Source organism: Homo sapiens, chromosome 4 (assembly GCF_000001405.40).
Source record: "Homo sapiens chromosome 4, GRCh38.p14 Primary Assembly".
Taxonomy (NCBI): domain Eukaryota; kingdom Metazoa; phylum Chordata; class Mammalia; order Primates; family Hominidae; genus Homo; species Homo sapiens.
This window is the reverse complement of record NC_000004.12, coordinates 189,849,515-189,867,275: the sequence shown is the minus strand read 5'-3', so window position 1 is coordinate 189,867,275 and position 17,761 is coordinate 189,849,515. Positions and strand designations below refer to the sequence as shown.

At 39.4% G+C, this 17,761-nt stretch overlaps 1 long non-coding RNA gene across 2 annotated transcripts in view; it reads left to right on the top strand.

Annotated features, from left to right (window-relative positions):
- Window positions 1–17,761, top strand: part of FRG1-DT (FRG1 divergent transcript) — a 176,343-nt gene that overhangs the window by 73,458 nt on the left and 85,124 nt on the right. The window contains exon 3 of one of the 2 annotated variants that reach the window (NR_149039.1): window positions 2,490–2,683. This is a non-coding gene — a long non-coding RNA (FRG1 divergent transcript). Of the gene's footprint in view, window positions 1–2,489; window positions 3,818–17,761 lie in introns of those variants that run through there. The other variant, NR_149038.1, reaches the window with a different exon arrangement.

The window sequence follows — 17,761 nt, the reverse complement described above, 5'->3', positions numbered from 1 at the left end:
CAGCAGAGTCCAGGTCTTCTTGAGCCCTTTGCCATGGGAAAGCTGTGCCCTCCTATGTCTCCTCTGAGGCTGTCTTCCTCATGGGAAAGCTGTGCCCTCCTACGCCTCCTCTGAGGCTGTCTTCCTTATGAGAGAGCTGTGCCCTCCTATGTCTTCTCTGAGGCTCTCTTCCTCATGGGAGAGCTGTGCCCTCCTATGTCTTCTCTGAGGCTCTCTTCCTCATGGGAGAGCTGTGCCCTCTTATGTCTCCTCTGAGGCTGTCTTCCTCATGGGAGAGCTGTGCCCTCTTATGTCTTCTCTGAGGCTCTCTTCCTCATGGGAGAGCTGTGCCCTCCTATGTCTCCTCTGAGGCTGTCTTCCTCATGGGAGAGCTGTGCCCTCCTATGTCTCCTCGGAGGCTGTCTTCCTCATGAGAGAGCTGTGCCCTCCTATGTCTCCTCTGAGGCTGTCTTCCTCATGGGAGAGCTGTGCCCTCCTATATCTCCTCTGAGGCTGTCTACCTCATGAGAGAGCTGTGCCCTCCTATGTCTTCTCTGAGGCTGTCTTCCTCGTGGGAGAGCTGTGCTCTCCTATGTCTCCTCTGAGGCTGTCTACCTCATGAGAGAGCTGTGCCCTCCTATGTCTTCTCTGAGGCTGTCTTCCTCATGGGAGAGCTGTGCCCTCCTATGTCTCCTCTGAGGCTGTCTTCCTCATGGGAGAGCTGTGCCCTCCTATGTCTTCTCGGAGACTGTCTTCCTCATGGCTCAATTGCAGTTCTGCAGCCAAAAATCGGGGTATTTCCCAGCATTTTATATGTTGTGCCTGAGAATGAATCTGCACAATCTGGCTAAGCAGGAATTAACTGTTAGGCACACAGGGCCTTGTGAATTGCTAAAAGGCTCTCCTCTGGACAACACTCATTATGGGTTGTGATCAAGTTACAGAATGTTCACGTTGCTTTCTTAATCAGCCTTGTTTGTGACTATTGATATCTTTGATCAAGATTGCAAATTGATTTTAATTTTTGTGCTTATATATTAAGGAATTATCTCTTTGTTATTTCAAGTGAGCCGTTCATAACATTAATTTAGTCACCCATTCAGATCTACAGACTACAAAAATGAATATTATATAGATATAGACACTGCATTCATATAAAAAATTTCCCAATAGATATATCTGGGCTACAATTGTCATAAAACGAAGGCTCACTTTTAGTGAGCTCACTTTTAGAACAAGCAAAATCATATATATTATAGGTTAAGAAAGATAAAATAACGAAAGAAAAAGAGAATGGAAATAAACTGCAATTCTTATTTTCTTGTTCTTTATCACTAGGTTTTGCAGGATTCAGCTCCATGAGAAAGTTTTCCCCATTATTAGTCTCCTAGTAGGCTTTGTAATTAGGAAAAAAACTCAAAACTTCCCCTGCCCCTTGCTATGTTTTGGTTGTATAATCTTATTCTTGGATTTGGTCAACATAAATTTAAGGCTTATATTCAAATCAAGCTTGTAAAATAAAATATTTCTTCTTTCAAATTTGCCTCTGTAGTCTCCATCCCTCATCAGATGCCAAGAATAATTCAGATGGTGGATACAGGATTTGTTCTTTAAATAAGAAAGCAAGCCTTGTTTTCTTACCAATGAGTAGAAACTGGTGAAAGATGGGGCCCCTGCCTCACATTCTATCTTATGTTCCTGGGAGAGTCATGGTGCTGAGATATTATCTATCCTTCTCCCTGATTTCTCTAAAGATCCCTAGGCCTCCTATGTGCTGGAGAGTGAGAGAGGATTTAAAGTCTTTCTGAGAGTGACTCCTCACGTTACTGTGGTTTTCTGTTACTAATACAAGTGCTTACTTTCCCAGCATCTGTGACAGTTTTCTTTTTCTGTCTGTCTTTCTCTTCTCTAAGGTAATGAACACAAGGTAACTCCTCTTAAGAAACAGACAGTGAAACATAAGCCAAATATCGGATGGCTTACACTTCACTCCAAGGGTTCCGATTATTCATCCTCTGATTTCCCCTTGGCTTTTCTAAGAAAAGTGCAGCTTTATGTTTACTAAGACTAGAGAAATTCAGCTTTGCAGAAGGAACATAACATCTCAGTTGCTGTAGTCTTTGTTGTTAGTTATCATTTATAACCAGGAGCTTGAATTTTCTTTCCTGGACTTGACCATTGTAGAGTGCAGCAGGGTCTTCTCTGGTGCTGCAGGAGAAGGGATGGAGTCCTTCTCTCTGGGTTCTTTTGGCCCAAGAAGCCTTCCAAAATGGGAAATGTAGGCTCCGAGCAAAGGTGTTTTTGACTCTTTCGTTGGCTATTCTGTCCTGATGTGGGGAATAGTGCTTGGCACACAGTAGAACCTCAGGAAATATTTATAGAATTAATGAATGAATGAATCCTCCATGAAATAGGTTTATTGGATGGGTTTACTGGAGCTTGACCTCCAATGACCTTCACATGGGGAGACAGTGTTGCCAGTGAGTGCCATGGTTGCCTTTCTATTCCAGCTCTTTGTCCTGGGAAGAGTTTGCTGCATCTTCCAGTTTCAGTAATCAAAGAAGCAAAGTTCCCTGCAGTTCTTCAAGGAACCTTGAGAATTCAGAAGGTCTTGGGGTGGCTGCATCCATCCTGCAGACAAATGCCAATCAGCAGAGGGGCCATTCCCAGGGACACATGTCTGGCTGACTTGGGCCTTGGCCAGGTAAGACACACAGCATGCATGCCTGCATTTCTGAATGCCATAGACCTGACAAGTCATAAAATAGCAACCAATAATTTTATGTTAGAGTGCTCCCTTCCTCACAGAAATCTCAGCATATGTGAAGATAGGTTGGAATGTGTAAAGAAAAGCTAAGAAAGCAGATTTCTGATAAGAACAGCGTGTGACTTGTACAGCAGCTCTGAATTACAGCCCGTAGGATGGAATGCTGACAGTTCCTTCTTCCTTACCTGTGATGGCTAGAATTTTATTTAGCACATCGTTTTTGAGCCAATCTCAAAATGAGAAAACTTTTGAGGAATTATGCATAGTGTGAAGTATATTCTTTCCCTTGTTGCCCGTGGAGATTCCACTGTGACAGGGCAGATTTCCCACTGCAGGGTCGATGGAGATGCTGCTGCTGTCTTTGGACATAATAGTTTATGACAAAGAGACCAAAATAATTCCTGTTTAGCCATGCGGTTGTCTGTAAATCTGCTTAGTTGGTCATCCAAAGTGATGACATTTAAGATATAGTTGATACACTGTTTATCTTAAAGAAACATTTTAAAATTAATTCTTCAGACCTATGTAATATTTTATCTTTTCTGTTTAATAATATCCAAATGTGCTTTTGTGAAGCACAAAACACATGTGTATTTCTTCATAAATCAGTCAGATAGCTTTGAAAATATATTTCAAGTATGTAGCAAAGACCCTCAAAACACAATTATTGAAGCATTATAAAAAGGTGAATTTGCTTCAGTTTTGGACTTTTAATAGACTTCACTGTTATGTAGTAAAGATAGAAATATGCCATAAAAGTCTCTGGTTAAGAGCCAAGACTTTTTCTCCTGTATCATTTCAGATCCCGTCATTTCTACCTGATCTTTAGGATAGACTATGCACATTCAGAGTGTTGAGTAAAATTATTAGAAAATATAATACCCATAACATGGTTCTTTATACCCTTTAAGTAAATATGTTGGCACATGAATTCACAATTTAAAACGCTGACTTTGTAAGAAATTTGCATGTGTCTCCAGTGAAGATATTGTTGCCCTTGTGTTCTTTGTGCGTGATTTATGACAAAATTATGAGACCTTTACATTTGTGGAAATAAAACACGTAAAGTTATTTCAAATACACATCAAGTCCATCACTGTGTTCTGTCAATCTTATCTCTAAATATTTCTCAAGTTTCTTCATTGACTTTCATTTCTACTCCCACAACCAGAGTCCCAGATCACCATCATTCCTCACTCTCCGGACTCCTGGAATATAGTCCCATTCTCCATGCCTCCAAATAATTAAAGACACAGAAAAACACATTATGTAAAAAAAGTAGGAGTCCAAATTGAACATTCAAGTTGATTGTAATGAAAACTCACTAAAATGTTAACAGTCATAGAATTAGCCGTGATACCTATTTTGCTCTTTTATACTTTTTAACATTTTCTAAATGTTCTACAATAAGCATGAATTATTTTTTAAAATTTTATTAAGGTGCATTTTCATTTGGGTGCGGTGGCTCACACCTGTAATTCCAGCACTTTGGGAGGCCGAGGCAGGTGGATCACGAGGTCAGGAGATTGAGACCATCCTGGCAAACACGATGAAACCCCATGTCTACTAAATATACAAAAAATTAGCCCGGGGCAGTGGCGTGCACCTGTGGTCCCAGCAGGAGAATTCTCCAGGCAGGAGAATGGCGTGAACCCGGGAGGCGGAGCTTGCAGTGAGCCGAGATGGCACCACTGCACTCCAGCCTGGGCGACACAGCGAGACTCCGGCTCAAAAAAAAAAAACAAAGTGAAAGTGAAAACAGATACCAACTAAAATCTACTACTTAGAAATTCTGATTATTAAATTAGGTGAACGTCATGTCAGACATCTTATTGTTTCTCTCCGTGTATCTACTCACAGACAGGTGCGTGGACACACACATATGGAGAGGGTGAAGAACCGCTAGTCAGCGAGTTAGAGACAGGCAAAAAGTAAAATTTTATATGTACAAGATCAAACTATGCATCATCTTAAAAAGATTAAAATGTATTAGGTTAACAATTTGTACCTAAAAAGTTAAGCCTTATTTAAAATGCAGGGTGTCAGCTATTGAAATAAAAACATCACACGACCTCAACTTTTTACGTTGTGGACTTAGCCACCCTGCGCCCAGCTCTGTTCCAGTTCTTTCCTCTTGCCTTTGGCTTCTACCGCTCCATCGTAGGCCTGACTTCTAGAAGAAACACGGCTAACCTGCTAGGGCTTTAGGCCTGATCTGCCTTTCTTAGGAAGAGAGAGAGATGGAAAGAAAGAGATGGCTTCTTCTTAGCAGAAACATGTCAGCTGCCTTCTTCTCAATTTCCCTGGACAATATTTATGTTCACTCTCCCACCAGTGAGCAGGTAGATGCCTGCATGGGTAGCTCATTCTTACGAAAACGTTGAACTCCTTACGTAAAACATTTTGAATAAAAACAATTGATCAAAAAGAATAAGAAACATTTTGAATAAAAACAATTGATCAAAAAGAATAAAATATGCAGCTTTTCAAATTATACAGACCAGGTGAATTTAGTAGAGAATGAACAAAGTGGTTTACAATATAAAGATTTCTGAATTCAGTGGTCTGGGTGTTCACTGCCCCAAAGAAATGAAAACAGAAAACACTGAGAACCCGTTAATGGGACCATCAGCAGAGATTAGCTCTGTTTCCTTTTCACCTGTGACTTGGGCATCATAAGAATATCTCAGTACCACTGTCCTGGTCTGAAAGCCACTTTGTTTCACATGGCACTGTTGTGATGTCCACAAGAGCCAGTCTTTGCAGATCTTTGCTCTGCAAATTACTACCAAGTGTGACTCTGGGTACAGCCGTTAAGCACTGCACCCCAATCCCCTGTCTGTAATATGGAAATAATAAAATCTAACTCTGAGACATAATTTAAATTACGAGGGGGTACATTACAGTAGGTTATAAGCAAAGGTTCATTCTCTTTCCTGCCTCTTATCATCTAATCTAGTTTGTTTGGAAGAGAGAGGGAGCTTGTGTGTTTCAAATATGTCACTTATATATAATTTACTACTGAATTAAAGACTATGTCTAAAATTTTGTTTTTAAATTGATGATTTTGATCCACATATTTTGTATGATTTCTTTTAGAGTTGGATTTATTGTCATCATCTAGTTTTGTGCTTTACATTTTCCTCCTGTTACTATGTTGTCCTTTTCTTTCCTTTTTTCTTTCTTTTTCCCTTTCTTTCTTTCTCTCCTCCCTCTCTCCCTCCTTCCCTCTTTCTCCCTCTTTCTCTCCCTTCCTGCCTGCCTTCCTTCCTTCTTTCTTTCTCTGTTTCTCTCTTTCTTTCTCTCCTTTTTGACTGAATTTTGATTTTAAAATTATTTTTACCCTCTCTACTGGTTTGGAAGCCATAAACCCTTTTTTAAATCATTCTGTGGCTGCTCTTAATCTTAATAAAATCCAAAATGAATCTGTTCTCCTTCCTAGCAATGCTGTATCTTAATTCTCATCAATTGCCACCTGCTTTACATTGTATTTTTGTGTGTTATTTAGATTCTGCCTCCACATATTTACAGTGTTTTTATTATTTCATTTATACCAGTTTCTTGGTTTATTGTTCCTTTTTTCATCCCAGACCCTTTTTATGGAATCATTTTACTCTATCTGAAGTATTTCCATTAGCAATTCTTTTTTTTTTTTTTTTTTTTTTTTTTTTTTTTTTTTGAGACGGAGTCTCGCTCTGTCGCCCAGGCTGGAGTGCAGGGGCGCGATCTCGGCTCACTGCAAGCTCCGCCTCCCGGGTTCCCGCCATTCTCCTGCCTCAGCCTCCCGAGTAGCTGGGACCACAGGCGCCCGCCACCGCGCCCGGCTAAATTTTTGTATTTTTGGTAGAGACGGGGTTTCACCGTGTTAGCCAAGATGGTCTCGATCTCCTGACCTCGTGATCCACCCACCTCGGCCTCCCAAAGTGCTGGGATTACAGGCGTGAGCCACCGCGCCCGGCCTTCCTTTAGCAATTCTTTTAGCAAGAGTCTGATTATATTAAACATAGATTCTGTTTGCCTAAAATGTGTTTATTTTGTCCTAATTATGACACAATAGTTTGCTGAGCAAACATCTTGAGATGGATGCTATCTTCTGTCAGAATTTTAGGCTAGTGCTTTGTTCTGGATCCACTGATACTGTTGGAAAAAATTGTTTTTCATATAACGGTTATTTCACTGAAGGTAAACTTTTTACTCTGGCTATTTTTAAGGTCTTTTTTTTTTTTAATTTTGGTGGCCCGAAGTTGAAGTTTGTGCCCAGATGTGGGTTTCTTTTCATCTAATCTGCTTAGAAATGTTTGGTTTCTCTTATTTCCCTATCTTCACCTCCTATTTTTTTCATTTTTAATTTTTAATTTTATAGAGATGGGGTTTTGCTATGTTGCCTGGGCTGGTCTTGAACTGCTGGGCTCAAGCAATCCACTTGCCTTGGCCTCCCAAACTGCTGGAATTACAGGTGCGAGCCACCACGCTTGGCCAATCCTCGCCTTCTGGCCACTCTTCAGAACCTGTTGTGTCTTTGAGGGCTGATCTTTTTGTATCTTCACCTTCTTTCATATTTTGCATTTCATTATCTCCATTATGTCTCTGAGCTTCATTCTAGTAGTTTCTGTATAAGTCATTTTCTTAGCTACATTAATCTTTTGTTTATCTTACCTACTGAATTTTTAATTTGAGTGATTACATTTTCTGTTTGAGAGGTTCTTTTTGGTTCTTTTTTCAAATAGCCTGTTTTCTTTGGTATAGCATTTTGTTTCTAGTTCATAATTTCAATTTCTTTTTTGGATAATTTAAAAATACTTATTTTATAATTTGTATCCAATATTTTTATACTTGAAAGTCTTTGGTGGTTTTTTCTGCTGTTGGTTGTTTCCGTTAACTCTTGTATTTTGCTTTTTCAAAAACATATTTTGGATTAAGCTCACATTTAAGTGTTTGGACTTTACGTGCAAGAATCTGTCAAGGTTTATGTTGAGGGTGCACCTTCCGCAGAGAATTTGTGTTTTTGTTTCTTGGGCATTCCTGACTCAAGGTTGTGTAAAATAGTTTCTCGGTTTGAACTTTCCTGGAGTTACTGCGTGGTATGATTTTAAACCCAACTCCAGAGCGTGTCAACTGTACAGATGTTGTCATGAAAAACATCTATTTTTGTCACTTTGAGTCCAAACTAAGGATGACATTTTTTGGTCACCTTTTGTCATCTTTTTAAACCAGTGGATGGATATATATAGAGAGATATATTTTTATGTCTTTCTATATAATCTATAGAAAGTATATAAACATTTACATCAATGTTGTGGGCGCTGGCTTTATTTGGAGACCTTATTTGTAACTTCCTCTTTGGGCTGAGATCATGCCTCTCCTCCTGTCCTGTGTATCATGCAAAATGCAAGCCTTCAGGCCCAGAGGCTGCTGCCTGATCACTCCACAGCCGCAGTGATAGCTCACCGTTCGGGGTTTAAGTCTTCTTTTTATTTTTTGGCCTGTGAATATTTTTATGCCCTTTAAAGTTAATTATATTATTATTATTTCTTGCCTTGCTAAATGTTTTAAATATTTAGAAATATTTATTTATATAATATTTATAAATATGACGAAAATTTTTCAGAACACGTCTACCAAAATGGAATCCAAAATAGCCTCTCAATCCATCTCACCCTTCTTCTTTGACTCTTTCCGATCCGTTTTCTGTCAAGTAGCTAAAGTGATGTTAAGTGAAAATAGGATCATATTGTTACTGGAAGGAGGGCCTTGAGTGTCAGTTGTCCAGGTTCTTTGGTGTTTTGAACAAAGAATTGGACAAAACCCACAAAGCAACAAAGGAACGAGACACAAGAACAAAGCAGCGAAAGCTGAATTCACTGAAGCAAGACAGCCCTCCACAAGGTGTGAAAGCTGGAGTCACTGAAGCAAGACAGCACTCCACAGGGCGGGGGAAGGAGCCAGTTTTCCGGGTTTTAAGTACCCCTTTTGAGGCTCCTATAAGTTACCTCTTGTCTGGATGAAGGATTTGGTTCCTGGCTAATTAAAGGCTGAGGTGAATTGGTGCCCTATGCAGAGGAAGGGGTGGCCCATGCTTGGCCAATCAGGGCACTCTCTCTTTCCATCTGAGATGTGCTGGAAGCGGGAGGGCTGTAGGGAGATTTGATCCTTTGCTGCTCGGCGTGGGGAGATGGGATTTCCCCTTCTGGTTTAGTTTTAGGAAGTTCGTGTTAATTGGCCTTAGGTTCCCTACCCCCAGACCCAGGTGTCCTCCTTTTGATCCAGCTTTGAGAAGTCAGCACCAATTGGCCCCCAGACCCTGGTGTTTTTCCTCGATTCAGCACAAATTGGCCTTAAGTTCCAGACCCTGTTTTCCTGCCTCGATATCACTCCCTTGGTAAAAATCCTTCAATAGCCTTCTGTTATTGGTTAAATTGTATCCCTCAAAAAGACTTGTTTAAATCCTAACCCCTGGTACCTTGACTATGGCGTTGTTTGGAAATAGGATTTTTGCAGATATCATCAAGGTAACATGAGCTCATACTGACTTAGGGTGAGCCCTAGCCCACAGTGGTATTCTATGAGGGAAACGTGTACACAGAGACAGAGGCACTCCAGGAGAAGCCATGCGACCGTGAAGGCAGAGGCTGGATTGACAACGCCACAAGCCAGGGGATGCCAGGGACTGGCGGCAACCACCAGAAGCTGGGAGGAAAGCGTGAGACGGCTCCTCTCTCTGAGTCCCCAAGTAGGAATCGACCATGCTGTCATCTTGCTTCCAGACTTCTGACCTCCAGAACTGAGACAGAATAAATTCCTGTTGTTTAAGTCACCCAGTTTGTGATAGTTTTGCTATGGTTGCCCACTGGTAAATGAATGAGCTAGTGAAGAAAACTGGTACAGCAGACCAGAGGGAACGGAAACGCAAGTGCTCTCACAGGGAGGCCTGGAAGCGAGCTGATTGATGTTGCAGAGCAAATACACTTCCCCTTATAATTAGTATAAAGTAAAAGATCATTAGCGTTGCTGGTGGTGTCTGTTTCATCTTTCCACTCTACTTTCGAGCTTCAGGTTGCTGTCATTGCTTTCACTGGCCTTTTTACAGTTTCTTGAACAAGCTCTTGTCTGACCCAGGAGTATTGTACATGCTGATCCCTCTGCCTAAGAGACTCACCTGAGTTTTGCTTGAATAACTACTGCTTATCAGATCTCACTTCCTCGAAGATCTCTTTCATAACAGTTTCCCCCATCCGTCTCTAAACTACGCCCCTTATTTTTGTTTCTGCACTTTCTTTGCCTTCATAGCATTTATCACAGATTATGACTTGTTTGTAAGATGATTTTGAAATGTCTGTCTTCTCTGCCAGACTATAACCCCATTAGGTAGTGAGGTGCCTGTTTCACTCTTCTCTGTTTCCCAACTACCAGCACAGAGGTGGGTATGCCATAAATATTTTTGAAGAAAGGAAAACACCTTTTTAGGCTTGTAATTAGAAGGATGGATACAAAAAGAGAAATGCCTATTTTCAAGTTGTTTTTATATTAAGGCCAGAGTGTTAGACATGCTGCTCCAATCATTCTTATTTAAGCAGCTTTCTGACAGGTTAGTAATAAATGCCACAGTGTTAAAAGAGCAATCACCCGTCATTCAAGCAGAGCCACACCTTGAAATACACTTGAAATGTCATATGTTAGTACAGTCAGTGTTATTTCACCGGTTACTTATAGCAGGTACTGCTGAAATGCTTAATGACTAGGTTGGTTCAGTGTTCAAACTCAGTACTCTGTTTATACCAAGAGAGCAGAAACATTCACTAAACGTATTCTAAAGCATGTGCTTTCTTTAAAAAATTAGCATAAACTTGTCATTTCGTGCTGAATTACAGGCAATATTTAGGGTCATTTGGGATCTTCGAGGTAACAATGTACAAAATTTCTTCTAGTATGTGGTTCTTCAGGCCTCATCACGGAATTCTCTACCTGCCTTGGTTTGGCAGAGGGCTAGCTTACTGACCCTCAGAGCAGATCACAAATTCATCTTTTAGACTATGTTTATTTCCTGACTGCGTTCTCTGTGCTTGTGCCCTGAGACAGTTAAATTATGAAGAGTACAATTCTATAAATCCAAACATGTCACAAATAATTGTGGCCCCAGGGCCCAAAGAGTTATGAGAGAATATAATGGAAGAAACAGCTACTATGTTTGCCACTCCATTAAAAAAAGAACTCATTCTAGCTAACCTCATTTAGTAGGTAAACTTTGCAACAGTGTTGAAGAAAGTAAGAAAACACATAGGCGACCCCACGTGGAAATGCCACTTTGCTAAAATGACATTTTGATCTATTGCTTATGGAATACTGTGGATGGTCCTTAAATCCGTTAGATGGTCTAATAATGTTATGTGCTCTCAAAATTCTGGAAATGTTTTTACAGTTGTAACTTGCATTCAGCAAAATTGATAATTGTGATTTGGAGTGATGTCAGCAAGATGGCAGAATAAGAGGACCCTGGCTTCACTACCATCTCCTGCCGCCTGCCACACACAGAAAGTTCAGCTAGCAAACACCTGCAGACAAGAATACCTTGGTGAAAACCCTAACATGTGGGAATAAGCCAGAGTCAGCTGTGTGGTCCAGAAAGGAATAAACACTACATTAAAGGGTAAGAAAAACAATCCCATGTTGACCATGTCTCTCCTCCTCCTCCCCTAAGTCAGCACAGCACCTCGCAGATGGAATTCCCCAGAAACTACAGTTCCTACAGAGCAAAAGGAGAATCAGAGGCAGACATGAAGCTTCCCTAGCATTCTGAGATGCTTCCCAGGAAGCCCACTCTGGTCTCACCTCAGGAGGAACAGAGGGGAAATGGCATGGCTAGACCACCTTGGGTGAGATAGAAGCAAAGCGAGGAGGCAGAGTCCACAGTGACAAGCAGACAGATCCTGGCTGTAGCTCTGCACACCTGCCAGCAGTAGCACCCAATCAATAGTACCAGCTAACACCATACCCACCTGCAAATCTGAGCTGGTCACCCTCAGAAGCGGTGGGAAGTTCTACCTGGCTTGAATCCTTAGATGACCAGCCTCAGACCCTACCCTGAGAACATGTCCAGGGAGGGAGATAACCACTACAGCAAATTTTGGCAAAGATCCAGGGCTAGTGTTGTCACACTCAGGAGTTTATTACTATTATCACTTTCATTTGAGATAGGGTCTCACTCTGTCACCTCAGCTGGAGTGCAGTGGCGTGATCACAGCTCACTGTAGCTTCGACTTCCTGGGCTCAAGTGATCCTCCAGCCTCAGCCTCCCAAGCAGCTTGGACTACAGGTGCATGCCACCACACCTAGCTAATTTTTAAACTTTTTGTAAACACGGGGTCCCACTATGTTGCCCAGCCTGGTCTTTAACTCCTGGGCTCAAGCAATCTTGTTGTCCCAGCTTTCCAAAGTACTGGGATTATAGGGGTGAGCCACCATGCCTGGCCACACCGAGGAGTGTTTAAATAGTACTTTGCATGGCCTCAAAGCCCACACACATATCCCACCCAAGGAAGGGGACAACCACCGCAGCAAATTTCAGCAAAGAGCTAGGACTTGACCTAGCACACCCAGGAGTTTAAATAATGCTCAGCCTAGTCTCAAAGCCCACCCCAAGACCTCACTTAAGCAGGTAGGCAAACCTCAACTGTGCATTTTTACCGAGCATAGTAGCTGGTCCCATCCATCCTAGTCAGTGACTCCACCTAACCTCAGAGTGCTTTCTGCAACCCTGTTTAACTGCTGACTTTAAATTGAGGTACCAACTGGCCAGAGAATACTACACTTCATGGCCCAGTCTAATCAGAGGCAAATTGCAGTGCCCATCCAGCAGTCCATCCTCACTGGAGAGTTCAGCTTAGTGGTCTTGCTGAGCTCTTGCTTGGGTAGCAGATCCCAGCCAGCTGCCCCATTCAAACTCACAGAAAAGGCAGCACACCATCAATGAAAGAACCCCCAAATAAGCTCTACATATTCAGGGTTGTTATGAGCTGATGTGTTCAGAACCACAGGCTACACTACACTGTGACAATTATTCCTGCCAAAGAATACCTGCAAAAACTGGAAAAGGTGGCTATCACCTCAAATATGCAGACACTAATGTAAGGATAGAAGGATAACGTCCTTACAAGGGTAACAAAGACTCAGGAAATCATGACACCCCTAAAAAGAAAAATCAACTAAAATAGATTTAACAATGAACCCCAAGGAAAGGACAATTTATAAAATGACAGACAATGAGTTTAGAAAAATCCTCTTAAAGAAGATCATGAACTACAATAATATAGGGATAGAAAATTAAATGAAATTTGGAAAACAATACATGAACAAAATGAGAACTTCGATGAAATAGAAATAATTCTTAAAAACCAACAGAAATTCAAGAGTTGAAGAATACAATGACTGAACTGAAAAGATGCAACTGAAAGCTCCCACAGCAGGTTTGATCAAGCTAAAAGAAGAATCAGTGAACTGGAAGATAGAACATTTGATATTATCCAATCAGAGTAGCAAAAATTAAAAAAAATAAATTTAAGAATGAAGAAAGCCTGCAGAAATATGTGCCACCCTCAAGAGACTGAATATACACATAATATAAATTCCAGAAAGAGAAGAAAGACAAAAAAGGGTAAGAAAGCATATTTAAAAAATAATGGCTGAGAATTTTCCTAATATGAGGATATATACCAATATCAAGGTATAGGAAGCACAGAGGTCTCCAGTCAAATTCAACCCAGAGAGGAGTTTACCAAGACACATAATAAACTATCACAAATAAAAGACAAAGAAAAAATTCTGAGAGTGGCAAGAGATAAAAAGCCACACAGCACCTAGAATAGTCTCAATAGACTCTCACCAGATTTTTCAATGGAAACCCTGAAGGCCAGGAGATAATGGGATGATAGATTCAAAATGTTGAAGGAAAATAAAAATAGCCAACCAAGAATATTTTACTCAGAAAATCCGTCTTTGTGAAATGAGGAAGAAATAAAAATTTTCCCAGACAAACCAAAGCCAAAGGAGGTCATCATCACTGGGCCTGCCTTACAGGAATTGCTAAAGGGAGTTTCTTAAGCTGAAATAAAAGGCCAATAATTATTAACAGAAAATGTACAAATGCACAAAACTCAATGGCATAATAAAGAATCATATGTGGAATGCTCTAGGACTGTAATGATGATGTGTAAGGCAATTTTATTCCTAGTATGGGGGTTAAAAGACAAAATTATTAATAAAACTTAGCTAAATACATTTTCAAGGGATAGATATTATAAAATGTAAATTCGTACATCAAAAACGTAAAATATCAGGGAGATAACAGTGGAGAGTTGTGTGACTTTGACTACCTACAACTGTTATAGCATAACAATTATATGAACTGTCAAAATAGACTGTTACACTTGTAAAATGTTTTATGTAAGCTTCATACTAATCACAAAGCAAAAATCTACAGTAGACACACAAAACAAAAATAGAAAGAATTCAAAGTATACCACTAAAGAAAATCATCAAGCCACAAAAGAAGACAGAAAGAAAGGAAGATGGAAACAAAGTATCTACAAAACAATCAGAAACCAATTCACAAAATGGAGGTAGTAAGTCCTTAACATTCATAATTACCTTGAATGTAAATGCTCCAATAAAAAGACAGAGTGGCTGAATGGATTAAAAACAAGACCCAGTTATATGCTACCTACAAGATACTCATCTTACTTTTAAAAACACATATAGGCATGCGTAACAAACCTGCACGTTGTGCGCATGTGCTCTAGAACTTAAAGTATAATAAATATATATATATATCACATATAGACTAAAAGTGAAGAGATGGAAAAAGATATCCCATGCTTGTGAATTGGAAGAATTAATATTGCTAAAATGTACATACTACCAAAAGCAATATGCAAATTCAATATAATCTCTTTCAAAACTTCAATGCCATTTTCACAGAAATAAAAAGACAACTAAAATTCACATGGAATTGCAAAAAACCTTGAATAGCCAAGGCAATCGTGGGCAAAAAGAACAAAGCTGTAAGCATCACACTACTCATTTCAAACTATACTACTACATCAGCTTAGTGCTGCCATAAAAATAAACACATCAAAAAACAAACAAAAAAAGAAAAACAGACACATCAATGAATGGATTAGGATAGAGAGCCAAGAAAGGAACCAACACATGTATGAACAATTGATTTTCAATAAGGCATCCATAGATAATTATTAAATAAATGAGTCTGGCTGCATTCATAGGACAAATAAAACAGTTGATTGTCAGAATTTGGCCAGTGGCTGGAGTTTACTGACCCCTGATCTAGGCATTGAGCATTAAAGACTGCCAACATAAAAGAGATAGAGTCAACTAGATAGTATGTGATTCCTGATGGGAGAACATGCTAGCAGGTATAGTCTTGTCAAATAAACCTCTGGATTCAGTTAACAATTTGCAGCAGAAGCAGAGTTTGGAAGAACATACTGAATTGTACTCTAAATAGGCAATCAGCCAAGTCAAAACCACAAGCACCTCTCCAGGTTCTGCAAAGGATCAATTATAAAACTAAATTACAAAAGATCGTAAGTGTGCCAAGAATACACAATATAAAATGGATATCTTTAATAAATGTTTTTGAGAAAATTGGATATCTATATATAGAAGAATTAAATTGAAACCTTTTCTCATATCATGTGAAAAAATTAACTCAAAATGGGTCGAAGACTTAAGCATAAAATCTGAAACTGTAAAACTACTAGAAAAAAACATAGGGAGAAAACTACATGAAATTGGTTTGGGCAATTACATTTTCAATTTTACTCTACAACCACAGGCAACAAAAGCAAAAAGAGATGAATGGGATTTCATGAAATATGAAAGCTTCTGTATAACAAAGGAAACAACAGAAACAACCTACAAATTAGGAGAAAATATTTGCAAGCCACATATCTGATAAGAAGCTAATATCCAAAATGCATGCGGAACTCAAACAACTCTAGAAAACAAATAAGACTAATTTAAAAAATGGGCATAGGACCTGAATAAACATTTTTCAGGAGAAGATATACAAATTACCTACAAATATATGTAAAAAGAAAAAACTCAATATCACTAATCATTAGGGAAATGCAAGTTAAAACCACAATGAGACAGCACCTCACACCTCTCAACATGGCTATTTAAAAAAAAAGAGAGAAGGGATTAAAAAGTTTTGGTGAGAATGTGGAGAAAAGAGAACTTTTGTACTCTGTTCTTGGGAATGTAAATTAGTACAACTTTTATGGAAAACTGTATGGAGGTTCCTCAAAAAACTAAAAATAGAATTACCATATGACCTGGCAATCCCGCTTGTGTGTATTGACACAAAACCCATATCTATGCCAGAGAGATGTCTGCACTCCCGTGTTCATTGCAGCTCTGTTCACAATAGCCAAGTTACGGTATCAACTTAAGTGACCATCAGATGATTGGATAAATAAAACATGGTCTATACACATACAATGAAATTCTATTCAGCCTTATAAGAGAAAGAAGCTTGGTCGTTTGCAACAACCTAGGTCAATTAAGCCTCCAGGCATATGAGGTCCATTGTTGTGAGTTTATATGTGTCCTGAAGGGTCCTGAATCCCTTCGTAGGGAACTCTGGTCTTTAAAGTTCCAGGTGAGGTCTAAGATTTTCTGGTGGTTTTGACATATAGAATCATAAACTTTTATAGCTAAAGGAATCTTTTCTTATATTTCATTTATTCTTTTTCCCCTAGTTTATAGATTAGATCTAAAGAGGTCCCTTGACTTGCCTGAAGCAATGCCTCTGGTTAATGATGAACCAGTATTGGAACCCAAGTCTCCAAATTATTAGTCAGCTCAGTGCTTTTGCACTGAACTCTGCTACATCTGAAAGATGCCTTGTTCCTCATGTTCAGTAAAGAATGGTCTACAGATTAGACAAAATCGACACATTTATAAACAAAAATAGCAACACCAACAAACAAAAATATTTTGCTGCCCAGAGACGGGTGGGCCCTGTTAGTGCTGTTTGGTTTAGGATACCTTGGGCTTGTACTAGAGGTGAAGTAACTCACCCCTCGACAGGAGCAAGACCTTTTGAAACACCAGTCTGTAAAGAGTAAGATCTACCCAGCTTAGCTGCCAGAATCATCACTTCCATTGTCAGTTGAGTTCCTCTGGTCTAGACAGTCATCTTATAAATTCCTTAACCAGCTTTTAAAAGGCCATAAAAGGATTAGTAGATAGAATGAATGAACCTAGATGTAGAACGAGAATTATATATGCATACATTTTTTTCATACAGGAAACAAACATTAATGATCAACAAACTAAATGTACATTATAGTTATGGTAAAATGTTAATATTCAACAAACTAAATATATTTTACATTGTGGCTATGCTATTAACTCTGAATCTTCCTTACTTTGTAATTCATGAAAATCAGAGCCAGAACTGGAGAACAGAGGTCTCTGAGGTGTCTCATTTGAGTTATCTTTCTTCGTCATCTAGATTGCATGTTGCAGGATGACCTTTCTGTTTGTCCTGTGCTGAGCTGTCTAGGATTGGTTGCCCATGTGTATCCTAGTGTTCAATACTAATTGTACAGAATTTTTAGGACTTTCTGAAGGGTTTCAAAGTCTAAATTTAAGTAAAGACAGTTTTTTTTAAAATCAACTTAAGAGGTATATAATTTATATACAACAAAAGGCCTACATTTTAAAGATCAAGTACAGTGTGTTTTGACAAATGTATGTGTTGGTGTACCCAAGGTGTAGAACATTTCTGTAACTCTAGAAGTTCCCTCTTGCCCCTTGTCAGTCAGTCTTCACCAGTAATTTTTCAGCCCCAGAAAACCACCAATTGCTCTGTGTCCCTATAGATTGGTTTTGCTGGTTTTCAAACTTCATATAAGTGGAATCACACAATATGTATTCATTTGTGTCTGATATCTTTTGCTCAGCATAAAAGATGGCATATTTTATCAAATATTT